This window comes from Homo sapiens, chromosome 9, assembly GCF_000001405.40.
Source record: "Homo sapiens chromosome 9, GRCh38.p14 Primary Assembly".
Taxonomy (NCBI): Eukaryota; Metazoa; Chordata; class Mammalia; order Primates; family Hominidae; genus Homo; species Homo sapiens.
The window spans coordinates 82,084,761-82,106,289 of NC_000009.12; the positions used below are offsets into that span (position 1 = coordinate 82,084,761).

General features: G+C 40.5%; 1 long non-coding RNA gene and 1 pseudogene across 1 annotated transcript in view; one reads left to right on the plus strand and one right to left on the minus strand.

Annotated features, from left to right (window-relative positions):
* LOC105376107 (uncharacterized) overlaps nt 1–21,529 on the plus strand; it is a 378,142-nt gene that overhangs the window by 107,516 nt on the left and 249,097 nt on the right. The gene's annotated exons all lie outside the window — the stretch shown is intronic.
* DDX10P2 (DEAD-box helicase 10 pseudogene 2) lies at nt 881–4,090 on the minus strand (annotated as a pseudogene).

The following is a 21,529-nucleotide window of genomic DNA, read 5'->3' on the forward strand; positions in this document are numbered from 1 at the left end:
CCTGTTTACTTGGTTGTTTATTAATTCCCACCATTTGCCTTAGTTCCAAAGCCAGAACTTTAAGTTTGTTTTGTTTGTGTGTGTAGGTTTTGCAGTGTTTAGAAGTGGGATGGCTATCTCAACAAGTTCCAACGAATTCTTAGTTTTATCAAATGGAAGACTCTCTGGTCTCTTGCCCAGGATTTGTTATGGCATTGCCCCAGTACATTTTGTTGTATTCCTAGTACTGCATTAATCCATCTAGCTGTGCTCACTTGATGTCCAATGGCTGGTCCTGCTGACATACCCTTAGCAACCTTACTGTGCTTGTAAGTATCACCCACAGCAGGCAAGTAGCTCCTCCACCAATTACACATTTAATTGTTTCACTAGTTGCATATATTTCTCTGTTACATTGTCATTCATATTATTTTTAGTGGAATTTGGGGCAGAAAAGCTACTATCATTTTTTCTCTTTGTCATTATTGGTTTGCATAGCCAGTGCAAAGCAATCTGAAGAAAACACAGGTTGTTTATCAGGAATGCTATGTTCTAGTTGTTCTAGTAGCAGAAGGTCCGCCATTAACTGTATGCCATTAGGCAATTCTCCTGATTCTTGGGTGCTTGGTTATCTCTTTTGTAAATCCAAGTTAATAATAGTGTTTGCCCTGCTAGCTCTCTGGGTTGTCATGAGATAATAGATAACAAGGAATTTCCCTCTGCAAATGCAATGTGACTGAACAATAAAGGTCATCATTTTAGAATTTTAAGGAATAGGACAGGGTTCCTCAAACGTTGCTCTATACTAGAACCACCTGGGGAGCTTTCAAAGCACCCCATGCTCAAACACAGCTTATAGTCATTAAATCAGACTCTGGTGTGGAGCCTAGGTGTTGGTATTTTTTTTTAATAGGAAATATGTTTATTATTGATCATCTCAATTCAAAAATACTCATTCTTTCTCAGGGCTGGTCCATCATACTCAGTCTCTTTGCAAATATTAAATACATCAAAATCATGAGCAATTTTAACAGTAACATAGAAACTTCTGTACAGTAAGCGAGACAGGAATTTCTAACAATGACACAAGAGCTCCAGAACTTGCCAGTAAAACAAAGGAAGCATTTCCAATGACAAGGCTTAGGAACCCATGGATAAAAATCTAACAGAACACATGCTGGAAAATGGGGTCAGGAAATAGTATCATCTATCCTCGATCTGAGTATGCTCAGTGATGGCACAAAGCATGCCCTGTGAGAGGGACTTGGAAATACAATTGCTTCTATCCAGAAATGTGCCCTTTGGGAATGGGACATATGGTACCTAAGTGCCCCCAAATCAATTGTTTTTCAGCATCTTGTCTACACAATCATAACCAAGGTTTCAAGGAGAAGGCAGGCGCAGGAAGTATTTAGCTTTAACTTCTTAGCAGATGTAACACCAGCTCTTCATCCTCTGCTAAAGACAGGCCAGTATCCAAAGGCTCTAAAGTGTCCCACGTGGCCTTCTTTCTGTTATGACTTGTTGGTCCTACATCTTCCACTTCACTGTTCTTCCTCTTTTTCATTCCCTGCTTCTTCTTGGTATCACATTTTATTTTCCATATCTTCACTATCTGAATCTTCAGAGCTTCTGTACTTATCTGGATCTAGGAGTGTGCTTGGATCAAATCCATCATCATCATCATCACTCCAATCCAGAAAGTCTTCCTCTTCATCTTTGGCCTTTGCTTGTCTCGTGTTGGCTTCTCTTCTGGCTTCCCTTTCTTTCAGTCTTTTCTCCCAATGCTTTGCCTTAATTTTCTTCCTATATTCTTCTTTGTCAAATTTGTCCTCTTTCTGAAGTCTTCCCTTTGCTTTATCTAAGTTGATACCACCCGTGTCATCATCTTCCTCAGCATCCTTGATGGCAGATTTCTGCATTTGTGGCCACTGTTGAACCAACTCCCCTTCATCAGTACATGTTATCTTCTTATTCGCTTTAAAATTTCTCTTCATTACTTTTTTTGCTTCTGCAACTTTGGTCACTTTTTTCTTGATGCTGGATTTAGAAGGTTCTTTCTTCTGTAATGTTTTCTCCTCTTTAAAGTCAAATCCAAACACATTGTGCCACTTCACCTTCAAGAAATCAGCATCTTCTTCCTCCTCATCTCTGTCCAGGAACTGCATAGGAACTTCCTTGATCTTCTTTGCTTCACTGGTGTTAGGAAGAGATGGAGCTTGAGATCCTTTTGCTTTTGCCAGTTTCTCTTCCATTTCTTCTTCATTATCTTCCTCTTCCTCCTGTTCTTCATCACTAGTATCATTAGCCAGTCTGTGCTCTGTCCCTTTGAGTCTTTTTCCACCTTTCTGAAGGATGGACATTTTCTCATTGAAGAAGGCTCTAAATTCTTCCACTTTGTCATTGGTGAGGGAGGGAGCCCTTGGCTCAGTTACTTTATTGGCTTGGCTCATTACCAATTCTTTGGTGGGTTGTTTCTGCATTTTCTGAAGAAATCTTATGCATGGTGCCACAGCAAGCCCAAGAGACAGGGCATATTCAGGTATAGGTAACTTGCTCACATCAAATACTTCTTTATCCTTCATCAGATATACCAATCATATATCGGAGATGAAACACCTTTGAGCTCTTTCTTTTAAATCTTGATCTTCAGCTGAAAAAGATTCCAATTTTTTCTGGATATCTATAAGTTTTTCTGGATTGATTTTGATTTCCTTTATAGGTACTTTCTTCTGAAGAAGCTGCTGCACTATAGCTTTTTCTGAGGCAAGCAAAATTAATAAAGCTTCACCATCCTCTTTGTACCTGGCAGTTCTACCTGCTCTGTGAATATATGTGTTGGCATCCTCAGGACAATCAAACTGAAGAGCCCAATTCACAGCCGGGAAATCCAGCCCCCTGGCTGCAACATCACTAGCAAAGAGTACTGCAGCTCTCTTACGGACAAACTCATTATAGACTTCCATTCTTCTCATTTGCTGCTATCGACCATGGAGGGCAAGGATAGAAATACCAGGACGTAGCTGGCAAAACACTCGGTACAGATATCAGACCTTTTAGCAACTGGAAAAAAATACAATGCTCTTCTTCTTCAGGTGCCTTCTCAAAAAGGAATACAGCACACTTATTTTTTGCTGCTGCTCACAGACTATGTAGTTCTGTTCCAAAGTGGCAGGGGTGCTATATTTTGCATTTTTCATGAACCCAGACATACTCAGTGTTTTTCAAACTCAAGCGTGCAAGGTCCTTTACAGATATAGTTTGTGTTGCTGAGAAAAGTAAAGTCTGACGTTTCTTGGGGAGATTTTCAATAATAGCATTCATGGTATCAGCAAAGCCCACATCCAAGATTCTATATGCTTCATCAAGAACTAACATTAGGAGAGCAGTAGCATGAAAAGACACCGTTTCATCCATGTGTTGAAGAAGCCGACCTGGTGCGCACACGAGTATATTTATGTTGTTGATCCTCTCAGCTTCGTGTTTCAGATACTTTCCACCAATGATGAGACCAGCTGAGAAGTCATGATTCTTTCCTACCTTTTGGAGAACCTCAAAGGTCTGATAGGTCAGTTCTCTCATAGGTGATATTATGAGAACCCCCAGCCCATCTGTTGAGGTCTATTGCAGACGATATAAGGCTTCTAGCACTGGAACAAGGAAAGCCAAAGTCTTGCCAGATCCAGTTTTGGCCACTCCAGGTACATCTCTACCTTGCAAAGCCAATCCAATGGTCTGCTTCTGTATCTCAGTTACCAAACGGTACTGAGCTTCTTGCAAACCTTTCAATGTTTTTTTGGACAAGGAAAAATCTGAAAATCTTGTAATTTCATTTACATTTATCTTCTCATAGTTCTGCATGAGGCGGCTGTTACCCTCGCGCTCGACCTGCCATTCGGGTTTCTTCAGTTGCTTCCTCAACTGATTCTTTTTGTTCTGCCCGTGGCTGTGTTTTTTCTTCCAGCGATTGAAGCTCCGCACCGGGTCGGGTCGGGCTCCCGAACCCGGAGAGTCCGCAGTTTTGCCCATTGCGGCGGCAGCGACAGCTGGGATCACCCCCAGACACGAGACACCTAAGGCCAGGCTCATGGAACCAACATGCGGAAAACGCACAGAGGCGCATGCGTGAGTGTTGGTATTTTTAAACTACTCACGTGATGCTACTGCACAGCCAAGTTTATGACCAGTGCTCCAGCACCTTGCTGTCAGAGTATGGTCCATGGGGCCGACAGTTATCAGGATCACCTGAGAGTTCATTAGGAATGCAGGTTGTCAAGTCCATTCTAAATCTTTGTATTTTAACAAGATCTTCAGGTGATTCATTTGCATCTTAAAATTTTAGAAGCACCGCTTTAGAAGTTATTTCATCTGTTTTATTTTGAAGTTGAAGAAAAATCCACAGAAGTTACGGAGTTTGCTGATGGTCACAATTCTAGCTAATGAAGCCAGGACTAGAATTAAAAACTCTTGAATTCCAAACCTGTGCTTCTCTCCAACGCTGTGGATGAGGGCCTGTGTTATCCTTCACATAGAAGAAAAAAGTGTGGATAAATTGTCAGTAGTGTGTACACTTTGAGTGTACTCTGTCTTTTTGAGATGTAGCTAATGGGTTTGCTGTAATTATCGTCTCTCTCCAGACCTATCACCTTTGAGAACAATGTTCATGAGATGGAGAAACTGACTGAAAGCTGCACCTAGATAGATTGCTTTGAATATTTCGGGAGAGAGTGGAACAGTTTGCAATTTAATTGTGCTAGTTATTGAGTGTGTGTGTGTGTGTGTGTGTGTGTGTCAGGGTCTCACTCTGTTGCCCAGGCTGGAGTGCAGTGGCACGATCTCGGCTCACTGCAACCTCTGCCTCCCAGGTTCAAGCGACTCTCCTGCCTCAACCTCCCGACTAACTGGGATTACAGGTGTGAGCCACTGTGCCTGGCCTGTTATTGACTTTTCTTACTAGAATTCTCTACTTCTGAAGCATAAATGCTAATAAAAAATATTTATAAAATAAGACTTTTCTGCTCTTCATTAGCTGAGGGACTAGTCTCAAGACTAAAAGACCATGGTACGAGACAAGAATACTAGTCTAAAAAGATGATGGCATGGGAAAAGAATATAATTTTCTCTTTCAGTTATCTACTTGAAGCTTTTGGGAAAGGGGAAAACCTGGGAATTTAGGGATGTGGGTAGTTTTGTAAGAAACCAGCCAAACGTTCTAAAGACAGAGTTTATGCTGGGCTCTGTGCTCAAACTGATCTAGCCAGAGCATGAAGGAAGCTGGAGAGAAAATGCAGGCTAGGTTGGTGTTGATCTGTCCAATCAAACACCACATGGGTTTAGCAGATGTATGCCATGCACATCGATATGTGCTATTTTAAATTTCCTGGGGCAATACTTGTTAGAGAAGAGCAGTATGTTGGACTCATCAGGCTTCTTAGTAATATGTACCTAGCTCTCTCCTCCTCTCTGCACCTGCTGTGCTACTGATTATACTGTAAGTAATGGCAGCTTTGCCTTGGGAGGTTATGGATATGCTGCAGATGGGGCATCTCTCCCGTGAAGGTGTATAAATTTCAAATTGCTAGTTGCAGCTCTTTGCAAGGGAGCCATGGGGAGCAGGAGGGAGAGAACACCAGTAGGAGTGACACCCAAAGCCATAATAATTTCTGATGATTAACCTCCAGTTTTTCACATCCTCTGTTATGTGTGATTCCAGGATCATAGACAAAATGATTGCTTTGCTGTATGGAAAATCTGGCACTGTATAACTCTCTAATTTTCCACACATGATATCATAATACCTCTAGTAGCACTATTTGTAGCTAAAGCCTCCCTCTCCTCCTCCTTCTTCCTGTTTTTTCCTCTATTTGATGTATTTTCCTTTCTTTCATTAATTGCAAGGGGCTTTAGCCCAGGGTGAGGATAGTGAGTAGTGCGATAGGAGTGGTGGCTTCAGAGCCTCCTGTCTGCATGGTAAAAAATATATGTGTGTTTATCTGTTTAGGAGAAGATTCCTAAAGACCTAGAGTGATGTTATTACAGCTAGATTGCATTTAGAAACTCTAATGAAATGCATGTAAGGACAGAGGCAGGTAATAGAAATGAGTGACTGGATCAAGAGAACTGTGGTGGACTGGGTGGCTCCTAGCCTGTCTCAGAGGGGGATGTACCAGCCAGCTCCATCCATTGTTGCTATAGAGAGTTGCAACCAGTGCTATGAAATCTCATTTTTAAACAGAAGCTAAAAATTCAAGTTTTACATGAAATTTTCTGCTCTCTAAATGTTCATAGTTAATTGAGGTTTCTTTTTAACTCCATCAACTATGTAGGCCAAAAACCATGTCTGAAGGACTAGATTGGGCCTGTGGAGCAGGAGTTTGTAAACTTGATTTAGTCTGATGTCCTCATTTCATGGAAGAAAAGGAGTTTGTCCAAGCTCACTCATGACCTTAGTGAGGTGCAGAGTTGAGAAAAGAATGCGGGTCAGAATGCTCCTCATTCCTTTCACCTCTGAAGATACCTACAGTAGGACTTATGTGCCAGGCAGTGAGCCAGGTCAGGGTTAGGTTACAGATATGGCTCCAGCCCTCAATGAGCTCACAGTCTGGCAGGGGTGACAGACAAGCAAACAACTAACTATAATTCTTTGAGGTATGTGCAACAAAGAAGTAGCTATAAATGCAGAGGCAACATCAGGAGGAACAAGTTCATTTCATCTGAGGAGAGGGTGACATGGCATGGAGAATCAGGGATGGGCTTACAGAAAAGGTGATGCCTCGGTTGGGTGTTAACACTTAAATCTTTTGATAATAGTCACAGTGTTTTGTTTGCTTGCTTCTTTTACGTTTGTTAAGCAGCTGGTTTGTTACTGTGATTCTGATGAATTTAGGGGGGCAGAAATTGATAATAAATTGTCTCATATTGGCTTGATTTAAAGTTTGCACATACCAACTTACTTGGACCTCATAATGTTTGGTGAGGGTAAGGAATAGGGCAGGTATTAACTCAATTTCGTAGATGAGGAAATTGTGACTCAGGAAACCTAAATGCAAGGCCCAGTGTCACCTCATTATATATGCATCAGTAGAACTGGGTGGAAGGGAAATTTCTCATTTGCAGTTGGTGCTATTTATATTCTGGGTCCTGACTGAGTGTGGCAGCACAAATCATCCATCCTGTGCTGTAAACCAATTCCAAGTTCTGGAATCCTCGGGAGATTTTGCCTCAACTTTCCTGGGAAATTGGATTGGAAGAACTACCCTTATGTTCATTGGAAATAAGGTGAAGACAAAGGTTTGGCAAGATGCTGATTCAGAGTGCAGCAACACTCAGGCTTTCAGGCCCTGCCCCATTCCACAAGTTGTAGGCCTGCAGGGCTGCGTTCAGTGGGACACTGGTGAGGGTAGAAGGTTGGGGGATAGGAGGTCTAATTTTCACGGAGTCCCAGTGTAGGCTAGCAGGAACCTTGGGAATGCTATGGGCGTGGGGTTAAGTACATACAAACAATTTCACACTTATAGTTGGTTATTTTAGAAATTCATTGACCGGCTGGGCACAGTGGCTCACGCCTGTAATCCCAGCACTTTGGGAGGCCGAGGCAGGCGGATCACAAAGTCAGGAGATCGAGACCATCCTGGCTAACATGGTGAAACCCCGTCTCGACTAAAAATACAAAAAAATTAGCTGGGCGTAGTAGTGGGCGCCTGTAGTCCCAGCTACTTGGGAAGCTGAGGCAGGAGAATGGCGTGAACCTGGGAGGCGGAGCTTGCAGTGAGCTGAGATGGCGCCACTGCACTCCAGCCTGGGCGACAGAGTGAGACTACATCTCAAAAAAAAAAAATAAATAAAAATAAAAAAAAAGAAATTCATTGACCATGTGACCCAACTTTTTAGGAGAAAATTTAGATAGTAAGAAAGGGGGCACTTTAACTGAGTGCTCATTGTGTGTTTGCAACTGCACTAGGTATTTTTATGTCATCCAAGTTAACACTCCAGAAAGCCTGAAAGATGAACATCATCAGCAACATTTTCCAGAAGAAAAGCTGGGACTCAAAGAAGAAGTTATGTGACTTGCCAAAGGTTAGATTGATATTAAATCATGGAGCTTGTATAGAATTTAGGTCTGGTAGTCTGATTGAATCCAAAGAATATGTCATAAGAAACCTAAGAAATGGGACGTAATTTTCTGTGTAATGAAGGTGATTTATTTCATATAATAATTTTACTTGGGGTACCTATGCACACGTGTGCATGTATGTGTTTGTATGTGTATGCTTATGGTGATGGTGAGATGTCAACAGAAAACAGCATAGGAAAGTCGGAGGAAAGAACCAAACGGGTGAATTTACTTCTAGTCTAATTTACCATGTTGGCTATTCACTTTCAGTTACTCTGCATTAACGGAGGTAAAGAGTCTGGTGGAAAATCTCAAAACTGGATTAATGAAATTATTTGTATTTGGCATTGGGTGTGATTGTGTGTAATGGTTTAGAAAATTATAAAACAAATAATGAGACCATTTAGTCAATGTTCAACTTAGGAGGAAGAGAAAAGCTGTGCTTTTCATCAACTCTGCTGAATAACATCTCTCTCCTTCCTTCTTTCACATAGCAGTGTCTCTTAGGCAGGCACAATTTATCCTTACAAAGGGAACTGGTTTATCTCTCTCAATTTGCTTGTTTACTTTTTCAGATTTCCTGGAGGAGTTAAGGTAATTAAACAGCTTGGTGTAACTGCGATAATTTTCAGCTTTCTTTCCCAATTTCTGTTAAACTATAGCCTATAGTTGGGTGTAAGGAAGACTACCAATTAATTTATCTAACATAGTTTAATTGAACACCTACCATATGCAAGGCACTGTGCTAACTTCTGGGGAATACAAATATAAAAGTGATAAAGGCAGATATGCAACGAACTGTATTGTAGTTAGATTGTAACAAAAACAGGCCCAGATCATACCAGGTAGAGATGCTGGGAAAGATAATTTGATATCCTTAAAAAACAATATTTAAAAAATATTTATTCTGCATTTATTTAGCAGGGGAGAGATTATTACCAGCCTGAATTTTTAATATTCTATTCAAGTGTACCCTCAGCTTTGATGAGGAAGATCAATTTTTTTTTTTTTTTTTTGAGACAGGGTCTTGCTCTGTCACCCAGGCTGGAGTGCAGTGGCATGATCTTGGCTCACTGCAACCTCTGCCTCCCAGGTTCAAGTGATTCTCCTGCCTCAACCTCCTGAGTAACTGGGATTACAGATGTGTGCCACCACGCCCAGCTGATTTTTCATATTTTTAAGGTCAATTTATATGTATATATTTTCAGCTATTTATGGAACTGCTTGTGGGTACCATGGTACCATTTTATTTCAGTGAAAGCCCCCTCTTATAGATTGTTACTCTGGGCTACCACCCAACTGGCCCAGCCCTTAATTTTGCTCTCTACAGAAGAATGGAGCTCATGGAGACAGGGGAGGGAAACAGAGGAGGGAAAGACTAATTCTGACTGTGACTGAGCCAGGCCTCAAAGAATGATTAAAGTTTCTAAAAGCTGAGAAACTGAGGCCCAGGACAAGATAGGTCTGTCAGGAAGAGAGGGCAGTAGAGGCAAATGCAGGGCCAACTAAGCTAAGGTACAGGGGCCACAAACTGAAAGTGACATATAGGAAGTTGCTAGCTGACTGCAGAGGACAGATCTGATGAAGTATTACTGGCATATTCAAAGGTCTTACTTCTACCATGGTACAGTTCTCATGAAGTGATAAAAGCTGAAATTGGGATGAAGCAGGGAAGAGCCAGGCTGGAGTGCTTCTCTTACTGGAGGCTATAGTCACTCCCTTTAAGTTATGCCTGTCCTTAAGTATAAGCATTCTGTGCCAGCTTCTACACTACCCTCACTGTCCTGTGCCTTGCTTTGCTTCAACAGCCTTTCTTGAAAGGATGTGTCATTTGGTGGCTCCTTTGCCACTTTTTTTCCAGATTGCTGACTTAGGATTTTTTTGTTTATTTGTTTTAAAGACAGGGTCTTGCTCTGTTGCCCAGGCTGGAGTGCAGTGGTGCAATCATAGCACATAGATCATAGTTCATCAGATCCTCCTGCCTCAGCCTCCTGAGTAGCTGGGACTACAGGCATGCACCTCCATACCTGGCTAATTTTTTAGTTATTTGTAGAGACAAAAAACTCACTATGTTGCCCAGGCTGGTCTCAAACTCCTGGCCTGAAGTGATTTATCCCACCTCTGCCTCCCAAAGTGTTGAGATTACAGATATGAGCCACTGTGCCTGGCAGAGGGCTGACTTAGGAAGTGGCATGTCTTGAGATCATCCAAGGACTTTAGGTAGTCTGAGTTTGCTATTTTTATGAACATAAACAGGAATGACATTAACAGGACTGATCTGGGAAGTTAATCATGGCAAGGAAGGTGCCAGGCCTGAATGCCTGGAGGAAGTGAGTAGGTGTAGGTGTCAACTGGTTCTGCTTGAAGCAAAGGCTTTCCATCCGAGAGACCCTCTAGGAACACCTGGGAGGCTCAGCTTCTAGGCTCAAAGAATGCCTGGAGCTTTGAGAATGTGGTCTTGTGGAGAGGATCTGTCAGATCAGTATTCAAGATGGTAGATGCTACTTACATAATTGTAATTGCATTATAGATTCTTGGCCTTCATATTTAGAAACAAATTCATACTTGTAATAGTTCTTGTTAAGCATTAGTGGAACAACATTTTAGCATTCTTCCTCTACCACAGGCACAACACAAATACAATAGCTGAGGCTATTTAGAAAGGGCATTTAGAAAGTGGGATTACATGTAGACTTCCACTCCAAGTGTGTTGGAGTTGAGAATATTTATTCAGTCATCTAATTTTTCTATCATCTTTGATATTTTAAGGACATATTCCTAGCTTAATATTTTTAAAAGGGTATTTGGCAGAACAATAAATGGTATTTTAAAAAATAAAAAATTCTGCAGCTAAATAAGTTTGGAGAATGTTGGCTTAAGAAACTTAAACAATTTTTTTTAAGTCCAGGACTTTTCAGAGCTTTAAATATGGTAATGTGCTTTTAGCAATTATAAGAAGAGTATACCGTATTCATGGTCACCTATTTTATGGTAAACTGAGATCCACTAGACACAATATGGGAAGCATTGTTCTAGATCATAATTTACATGTAATCTCTTGGGAGAGTCACTTTACATCTTTTTTATTTATATACAATGGTTTTCAACTTTTATTCTAGATTCAGGGACTACATGTGCAGGTTTGTTACATGGGTATATTGCATGATGCTGGTTTGGGATACAGATGATGCAGTCATCCAGGTAGTTAGCATAGTACCCAATAGTTAATCTTTCAACACTTACCCCCTCTGCCTCCCTCCCCTTCTCCAGTAGTCCCCAGTATCTATTGTTCCCATCTTTATGTCCATGAGTACCCAGTGTTTAGCTCTCACTTATTTTTATTTTTATTTATTTATTTATTTTGAGATGGGGTCTTGCTCCGTTGCCCGGGCTGGAGTGCAGTGGTGTGATCTTGGCTCACTGCAAGCTCCACCTCCTAGGTTCCGGCCATTCTCCTGCCTCAGCCTCCCGAATAGCTGGGACTACAGGCTCCTGCCACCACGCCTGGCTAATTTTTGTATTTTTAGTACAGACACGGTTTCACCTTGTTAGCTCTCACTTATAAGTGAGAACATGCAGTATTTGGTTTTCTGTTTCTGCATTAATTTACATAGGATAATGGCCTCCAGCTGCATCCATGTTGCTGCAAAGGACATGATTTCATTCTTTTTTATGGTTGTGTAGTATTACATGGTGTATATGTACCCCATTTCCATCATCCAGTCCACTGTTGATGGATGCCTACATTGATTCCATGTGTTTGCTATTGTGAATAGTGCTGTTAGGAACATACAAGTGCAGGTGTCTTTTTGGTAGAATGATTTCTTTTCTTTTGGAATGAGATTTCTGGGTTGAATGGTAGTTCTGTTTTAAGTTCTTTGAGAAATCTCCAAACTTCTTTCCACAGTGGCTAAACTAATTTACTTTCCCACCAACAGTTTATAAGTGTTCCCTTTGATCTGCTGCCTCACCAACGTCTATTATTTTTTGACTTTCTAATAATAGCCATTCTGACTGGTATGAGATGGTATCTCATTGTAGTTTTGATTTGCATTTCTCTGATGATTAATGATGTTGAGTATTTTTTCATATTTTTGTTTTGGCTGCTTGTATGTCTTCTTTTGGGAAGTGTCTGTGTCTTTTGCCCACTTTTTAATGGGATTATTTGTTTTTTTGTTTGTTGATTTGTTTAAGTTCCTTATAGATTCTGGATATTAGACCCTCATTGAATGCATAGTTTGCAAATATTTTCTCCTATTCTGTAGATAGTCTGTTTACTCTGTTGATAGTTTTCTTTTGCTGTGCAGCAGCTCTTTAGCTTAATTAGGTCCTACTTGTCATTTTTTGGTTTTGATACAATTGCTCTTGAGGACTTAGTCATAAATTCTTTCTCAAGAGCAATGTCCAGAATAATGTTTCCTAGGTGTTCTTCTAGGATTCTTACAGTTTGAGGTCTTAAATTTAAATTTTTAATCCATCTTGAGTCAGTTTTTTAATATGGTGAAAGGTAAGGGTCCAGTTTTATTCCTCTGCATATGGCTAGCCAACTATCCTCACACCATTTGTTGAATAGGGGGCCATTTCCTCATTGCTTGTTACTGTTGACTTTGTCAAAGATCAGATGGCTGTAGGAGTGCAGCTTTATTCCTGGGTTCTCTAGCCTGTTCCATTGGTCTCTGTGTCTATGATGAGAGTGGGCATCCCCATCTTGTTCCAGTTCTTAAGGGAAATGTTTCCAGCTTTTTTCCATGCAGTATGATGATGCCTGTGAATTTGTCATAGATAGCTCTTTGTCTTTTAAGGTATGTTCTTTTGATGCCATGTTTTTTGAGGGTTTTTATCATAAAGAGATGTTAGATTTTATGAAAAGCATTTTCTGCATTTATTGAGATCATCATATGGTTTTTGTTTCTAATTGTGTTTATGTTGTGAATCAAGTTTATTGATTTGCATATGTTGAATCATTCTTACATTGCAAGAATAAAACCTACTTGATCATGATGAATTAATTTTTTGATTTGCTGCTGGATTTGGTTTGCCAGTATTTTGTTGAGGATTTTTGCATTTATGTCCATCAGGGATACTGGCCTATAGTTTTCTTTTTTCATTGTCTTTGCCAGATTTTGCATGAGGATGATGCTGGCTTCCTATGATGAGTTAGGGAGGAGTCCCTCTTCCTTGATGTTTTTGTATAGTTTTACTAACATTGGTACCAGCTCTTCTTTGTATGTCTGGTAGAATTCGGCTCTGAATCCATCTTGTCCAAGGTTTTTTGGTTGGTTGGTTTTTTATTACTGATTCAATTTAGGAACTTAATATTGGTCTGTTCAGGGTTTCAATTTCTTCCTGATTCAATCTGGGGAGATTGTGTGTTTCTAGGAATGTATGCATTTCTTCTACATTTTCCAGTTTGTATGCATAGAAGTGTTCATAATAGTCTCTGGGGATCTGTATTTCTGTGGGATTGGTTGTGATGTCACCTTTATTGTTTCTGATTGTGCTTATTTAGTTCTCTTTTTTTCTTTGTTAATCTAGCTAGCATGCTGTTGCTATTGCTTATCCTTTCACAGAACTAACGTTTAGTTTTGTTCATCCTTTTTATGGATATTAGGGTCTCAATTTTATGCAGTTCTGCTCTGATTTTAGTTCTTTCTTTTCTTCTGTTAGCTTTGGAGTTAGTTTGTTCTTGTTTTTCTAGTTCTTCTAAGTGTGATGTTAGATAGTTAATTTGAGATCTTTCTTTCTTGATGTAGGCATTTAGCACTATTAACTCCTCTTAATGAGAGGTGAAGCCAGCTGGACTTCCTGGGTCGAGTGGGGACTTGGAGAACTTTACTGTCTGGCTAAAGCATTGTAAGTGCACCAGTCAGTGCTCTGTGTCTAGCTAAAGGATTGTAAATGCACCAGTCAGCACTCCATGTCTAGCTAAAGGATTGTAAATGCACCAATCAGCACTCTGTAAAAACGCACCAAGCAGCGCTCTGTGTCTAGCCAAAGGATTGTGAACGCACCAATCAGCACTCTGTAAAATGGACCAATCAGCAGGACATGGACAGGGACAAATAAGGGAATAAAAGCTGGCCACCCCAGCCAGCAGCGGCAACCCGCTCAGGTCCCCTCCCATGCTGTGGAAGCTTTGTTCTTTTCCTCTTCACAATAAATCTTGCTGCTGCTCACTCTTTGGGTCCATGCCACCTTTAAGAGCTGTAATACTCACTGCAAAGGTCCGTGGTTTCATTCTTGAAGTCAGCGAGACCAAGGACCCACTGGAAGGAACCAACTCTGGACACATTAACATGGTTTTGCTGTATCCCAGAGATTTGGTATGTTGTGTCTGTTTCCATTTTTATTTAAAAGAACTTTTTGATTTCTGCCTTAATTTTGTTGTTTACCCAAACGTCATTCAGAAACAAGTTGTTTTATTTCCATATGATTGTGTAGTTTTGAGATCTTCTTGATATTGATTTCTATTTTTATTCCACTGTGGTCCAAGAGTATGCTTGGTATGATTTCAGTTTTTTTGAATTTATTGATACTTGCTTTATGGCTGAGCATCTGGTCAATCTTAGAGTATGTTATATGTACAGATGAGAAGAATGTATATTCTGTGGTTGTTTGTTGGAGTATTCTGTAGATATCTGTTGGGTCCAATTGGTCAAGTTTTGAATTTAAGTCCGGAAGTCTTTGTTAATTTTCTGCCTTGATGGTCTGTCTGATGTTATCAATGAGATGTTGAAGTCCCCCACTGTTGTTGTGTGGTTATTTCTTTTTATAGGTCTAGAAGTACTTGTTTTATGAATCTGGTGCTTCAATGATGGGGGCATGTATATTTAAAATAGTTAAGTCTTCTCATTTAATTGAACCCTTTATTGTTATGTAATGCCTTTCTTTGACCTTTTTTTACTGTTGCTGGTTTAAAGTCTGTTTTATGTAATATAAGAATAGCAACCCCTGCTTCTTTTTGTGTTCCATTTGTGTGATAGCTCTTTCTCCATTCCTTTACTTTGAGCCTATAGTTTTGTTACATGTGAGATGGTTCTCTTGAAGTTAGCAGATGGTTGGGTATTATTTTGTTATCCACCTTGCCACTCTGCGCTTTTTGTTTTTGTTTTTGTTTTTTGATGTTGTCTCACTCTGTCACCCAGGCTGGAGTGCAGTGGTGCGATCTTGGCTCACTGCAACTTCTGCCCTCTGAGTTCAAGTGATTCTCCTGCCTCAGGATCCCAAGTAGCTGGGATTACAGGTGCCTGCCACTGTGCCCAGCTAATTTTTTGTATTTTTAGTAGAGACGGGGTTTCACCATCTTGACCAGACTGGTCTTGAATCTTGAACTCCTGACCTCATGATCCACCTGCCTTGGCCTCCCAAAGTGCTGGGATGATAGGCATGAGCCACTGCACCCAGCCCACTCTGTGCTTTTAAAATGGAGTGTTTAGAGTGTTTACATTCAAGGTTAATATTGATATATGAGGTTTTGATGCTGTTGTGATGTTGTTAGCTGGTTGCTTTATAGTCTTGTGTAGTTGCTTTTACAGACTTTGGGCTATGTACTTATGTGTGCTTTTGTGGTAACAGGTATAATTCTGTTTTCATGTTTAGAATTCCCTCGAAGAATTTCTTGTATGACTGGTCTAGTGGTAATGGATTCTTTCAGTGGTAATAGATTCTTTCACTGTTTGCTTGTTTGGAAAGGATTTGATTTCTCCTTTGCTTATGAAGCTTAATTTGGCAGGATATGAAATTCTTGGTTGGAATTTCTTTTCTTTAAGGATGCTAAAAATAGGCCCCGATCTCAACCTGTTTGTGAGGTTTCTGCTGAGAAGTCTACGGTTAGCCTGATGGAGTTCTCTTTGTAATTGATCTGACCCTTTCCTCTAGCTACTAAGATTTTTTTCTTTTGTGTCAACTTTGGAATGTTGATGACTATATGTCTTGGGGATGGTCATTTTGCACAGTAATTAACCTCACAGGGGTTCTCTGAATTTCTTGAATTTGCATGCTTACCTCTCTAGCAAGATTCAGGAAAGTTTTATGGACTACATCCTCAAATATGTTTTCCAGGTTGCTTATTCTGTCTCCTCTCTCAGGAATACCAATGAGTTGTAGGTTTAGTTTCTTTACATAATCTCATATTTCTCAGAGGTTTTGTTCATTTAAAAAATTATTTTTTCTTTATTTTGGCTGACCGGGTTGATCTGAAGCATCAGTCTTTGAGCTCTGTAATTTTTTCCTCAGCTTGGTCTAGTCGGTTGTCAAGGTTTACAACTGTATTTTGAAATTTCTGTGGTGAATTTTTAATTCTAGAAATTCAGTTTGTTTCTTCCTTAATATGGCCATGTTGTGTTTTAACCCTTGAATCATTTTACTTACTTTTTTGGATTGGGTTTTAACTTTCTCTTGAATCTTATTGAGTTTCCTTGTCATCCAGATTCTAAAAGTCAATGTCTGCCATTTCAGACATTTCAGTCTGGTTAGGATCCAGTGCTGGGGAGCTAATGTAATCTTTGGAGGTAAGGAAACATTTTGACTTTTTGAGTTGCTAGAGTCCTTGTGCTGGTTTCTTCTCATCTTAGGGGGCTGGCATTTCTTTATCTTTTTGAAGTTGCTGTCATTTGGAAGGGGCTTTTTGTTTTTCTATCATTTGTTCCCTTGAGGATTTGACTGTGGTGTATATTGTGTATAGTTGACTGGCTCCATTTCTGGGTGCTTTCAGAGGGTTAAGGCTCTGTACAGGTTCTTTAGTTGTGGCTAGTTTCCTGCACTGGGTTTCACAGTCGATGCATGCTGTAGGAATTTATTTTTGTTGGTGGTGTAATTCAGGCTGTGATCCAGTAGATGTCCCTTAAGAGTAAGAGCTGGCAGATAGGCTTTTAACCCTGTGTCCTTTGTATTTCAGTGCATTCACAGCAATGCTCTGGTGAGTGGGAAATGGGGAGAGCAGGGATTACCCCTTTACCAAGTTTGTTCCCAGGCCTTGGAGAAGCTGCCTCCAATCACTGGTTCTATGCCTGCATTTCCTGAACCCAAAGGGCCCCCTCGTTGACTGCACTCTCCCCTCCCTTAAGGGAGGCCTGAGCTGAAGGTTAGGCCACCAGAAGACTTGCAGCTCCCCAGGGACTCTCTGGTCATCTGAGCTTGGCAGAGTCAGAGGAGGTTGTGGGGTATGTCTGTGGGTGGTCTGGTGATGCCCACAGGGTGGGCAGGATGGTGGGGCCAAGGGTGTGCAGCTGGTGTGGCACCTACAGCTTGGGGTTTTTGCCCAGAATACAGTTATAGGGACCACCTAGCTCAGGCTCCCCGAGCTGGGACTCTTTCTAGTGTCTGTCCCAGGAGTAGGCCTGACCAGCTAGTTTTGTCCCAAAACTTCTTGGCCCAGATCTCTGGGCTGGTCAAGGCCAGAGGGCTCCCTCAGGTAGCAGCTACACTGCCCAACAGGCTATACCCTTCCTGCACCCTTCTTGTGGAGGGAGGGACACCAAACTTTTGTGCTGGCACACAAACCCACACCTCACTCTTCTCAGTTTTCTGAGAGTGGGGGCTCCTTACCTGCTCAGGCTGAAGTCACACATCTCAGCTGGATACCCATGGGCAGTGTGCTTGAACCCTGGGGGATTCGAACCGACCTTTGACTTTGCCCTCTGGCCCCTTGGGGTTGAGTACCACCTGTGCTGGAGGCACTGAATTGCTCCCAGGCCACTGGCAAAACACTTGGCTTAGTGGAAGCTGTGCTGTGTGCACCCTCTTGTAGGAGTGGCCAGGCAGGGCCTTGGGAGGGGCCAGCTGACAAGGGGGCACACAGATCAGATGCGCTCCAGACCTGTGTAAAGGCAGCCCTGGTTTCTCCTGGCCCAGCAATCAGCAGGGGATAGAGTTACTCAAAGTAAAATGGAGAGCCTTGGGGATAGGCACATATAATCGCATTTTGCCGCAGCTGCCCTGCATGTTAAACCTTCTGGGCTCCATGGAGGTTCAAGCTCTGCCTCTGCCTATTCTCCAGCAGTTCCCTGTGCCAATTCAAATGTCTTTTCAGGTCGTAGGATCTCTTGTAGCTAGGACCCCAGAGGTCTGTGGCAGGAGTGTTGTGTCCTGGAGCTCTTTTACTCTCCCCTTCCTTAGTACCTATGAAGGACCAAGAGCTGGTTGGTCCTGGTGCTTGGTGATGTCATGCAGGCTTCCTAGCTTCCTCCCTCTTGGATCTCACTGTCTACATCACCTTCCTATTGACTTTCAGCATTTTGTCTCAAAAGATCTGTTTGAAGTATGATGGTTTACTCAACATTTTGGTTTCTCTCAGTGGGAGAGGCATTTCCTGGCTGTGTCTAGTCAGCTATCTTTACCTCTAAGCTGTAGTTTTGTAATGTGCAAATTGACAGTGAGAGCACTTGGGATAATTTGAAGTCAAGTGAGATCTTGTGAACTATTTAAAGTTAGTTATTGTTAGTCTAGAAAATTTGTATCTAAAAGATATTTTATGATTATTATTCAATACAATAACTTTTATGTTAAGGAAAACGGTACAAAATCAACTACAAGCTTATTTAATATTGAGTAATAATAATGCCCTCAGGTGAGGCTGGAAATAATTTACAGATATATCATAGCAGGCTTTACCAATAGAATTTCAGTAAACTAGAAGTACTAAGAAGATCAGGTATTAATTACCACACAATTAAACTTGGTTCACGAACTTAGAGATTCCACAAGATGCATCAATATAAATTGAGGGAATATAGAGTAATTAGACAATGAAAAAGAGATAAACAAGAGAGACCGCCTCATCTTCCTGATTATTTGTGCAAAATGTATAAGTTACTTTAGATTGGGGATTGGGTCTTATATCATCTTATAGTCATCTTTCAGCACCTGGAACAGTGCTGGATATAAATTCTATTAATACAAATTCACAGACAGATTTGTTCTGCATTTCTGGAAAAACATGGTTTAAATTAGATTACTGTTAAGTGGGTTCATACTTAGTTGACAACACGATTTGTAATGCTTCAGTGTCAATATAAGAATATTTATTATTTGAATGAAACTCCACAGTGGTCAGTCTTTGGGCAACTCTGTGGGGACCCATTAAGACAAATTATCTTGAAGCAGGAAAAAGAATCTCAGTATCAAGCAAATAAATTATTTGCTGTTTTTGTTTAAGTATATAAGAAAAAAGGAGCTAAGAATCAAACATCACATACTGAGGGTTACCAAATTAAGATAATTTAAGATACAATTCATGGAATAAGCAGGTCTTTGCCTAGAAAGGTGAACTTCTGAGGTCTTTGGATATACTGTTTTCCAAGAACATATACAATTTTTTTATGAGCTGCATTCTTTTATATAGGCCTTGTTATATTAGACTAGGTTATGTTTATATTTTAGTTATCTTTTTTTGTAAAGCTAATATGTCCCCACAGCAATTAAATTTAGTCATTGGCCTCATTGGCACCATGGTGCTATGAGTAAAATTAAATAATACAGTGTATGAAATCAATTATGTTCTTATTGAGCTATTTTCTGCATTTGGGGGATACTATAATTAAATAAGATGGTTAGGAAAAGGATAATGTCCAGAGCTACATTGTCCAATATGGTAGCCACTAGCCATATGTTTATATTTAAATTTGAATGTAAATTAATTAAAGTTAAATTTATTTTAAATTTAATTTATTAAATTAAATTTAAATTCAAAATTCAATTCCTCAGTCTCACTGGCCATAATTTAAGTGCTCAGTATTCACACGTGGCTAGTTGCTATCCTATTGGACAACACAGAAACAGAATATTTTCATCACTTCAGAAGGTTCCATTGGACAGTACTGTTTTAGAGAATAGCAATGTAAATGTTGAGATATAACTGCCAGATTTGAGTTTTTTAGCTTCAAGAAGAGGAGCTTGGAATAGAGGCTAAGTTAATAGTCATTGGCTACATGAGGAGCTTTGGTAATCATCCTGCAGTTTCAGAAATGAGGAATAATAAATTAGGACCAGGTAAAACTGTGGCAGGAAGGATTTAGATAGACTGTTTTTTTTTTTTTTTTTTGAGACAGAGTCTCACTCTGTCATCCAGGCTGGAGTGCAGTGGCACCATCTCGACTCACTGCAAGCTCCGCCTGCCAGGTTCAAGCCATTCTCCTGCCTCAGCCTCCCGAGTAGCTGGGACTACAGGTGCCCTCCACCATGCCCGGCTAATTTGTATTTTTAGTAGAGATGGGGTTTCATTGTGTTAGCCAGAATGGTCTCGATCTCCTGATGTCATGATCTGCCGGCCTCGGCCTCCCAAAGTGCTGGGATTATAGGCGTGAGCCACCACGCCCGGCCTAGATAGACTTTTTTTTTATTACTTTCCAACTTCTATTTTAGGTTCAAAGAGTACATGTGCAGGTTTGTTACATGGGTAAACTGTGTGTTGGGGGCGGGGTTGGTGTAGAGATAATTTTGTTACCCAGATAATCAACATAACACTTGATAGGCAGTTTTTCAGTTCTCACCCTCCACCCACCCTCCACCCTCAAGTAGGCCCTGGTGTCTGTTGTTCCCTTCTTTGTGCCATGTGTACTCCATGTTTCGCTCTCACTTGTAAGTGATAACATGCAGCATTTGATTTTCTGTTCCTTCATTAATTCACTTACTATGGCCTCCAGCTTCTAGATGGACGTTTTGAAGTCCTTCTCCCATGAAAAATTAAGCCTTGGAATAAACTAAATATGGAGAATGTGCAAATGTTTTCTGGATTGTTGATAAAAATGTATAAGACAGTGATTTCTAATATTTTAATACCCTAAATGTTTACATGGATGGATCTTACTCTTCTATAAAAAATTAACTTTAAAGAAATTCACATATCATTTGTCCCATGCCTCCAACCTTGAGTGTGGTGTTGCTTTTTAGTTAGTGTCTGTTTCTTGAGAAACCACTGAGGAAGAAAAACTGCTAGGAAACCAGTAACACTTTATAGTCAATATCTAAGTATAGTTAAAAAGTATTTTGTGTTTGTATAAGACAGACTGTTTAATCAGCCCTAGCCAATATTTGCTGCTCTCGTGGATTCTTGAACCTGTTTTAGTAACTGAGCCCCGCCACCTAGAGGAGGGTGGTTCTTGTCTGGGAGCCACTGGTCTACACATTCACCTCTGGGAGGGAGTTAAAGTGAGTTGGACTGGAGGGTATAGGCAGAGGTAAATGACTTTTAACATTCCTTCTGGACCTCCTCTTCATGATTAAGCACTTCTGCTCATACGTTTAAGTTTTGCTACTTTTTTTCTGGCCTGTATCCAGATTTTTACCAATCTGATCTGAAATGAAATTTTTCATTTGATTTTAAATCAGGCCATTGTAGGGTTTTGAAAGCTCAATGATAGCTTCTCATGTCTTAGCTTTAGTACCCTGAAAGATCATTTTATTAAATGTAAATCCAGATGATCTCCTTTGTCTACGATG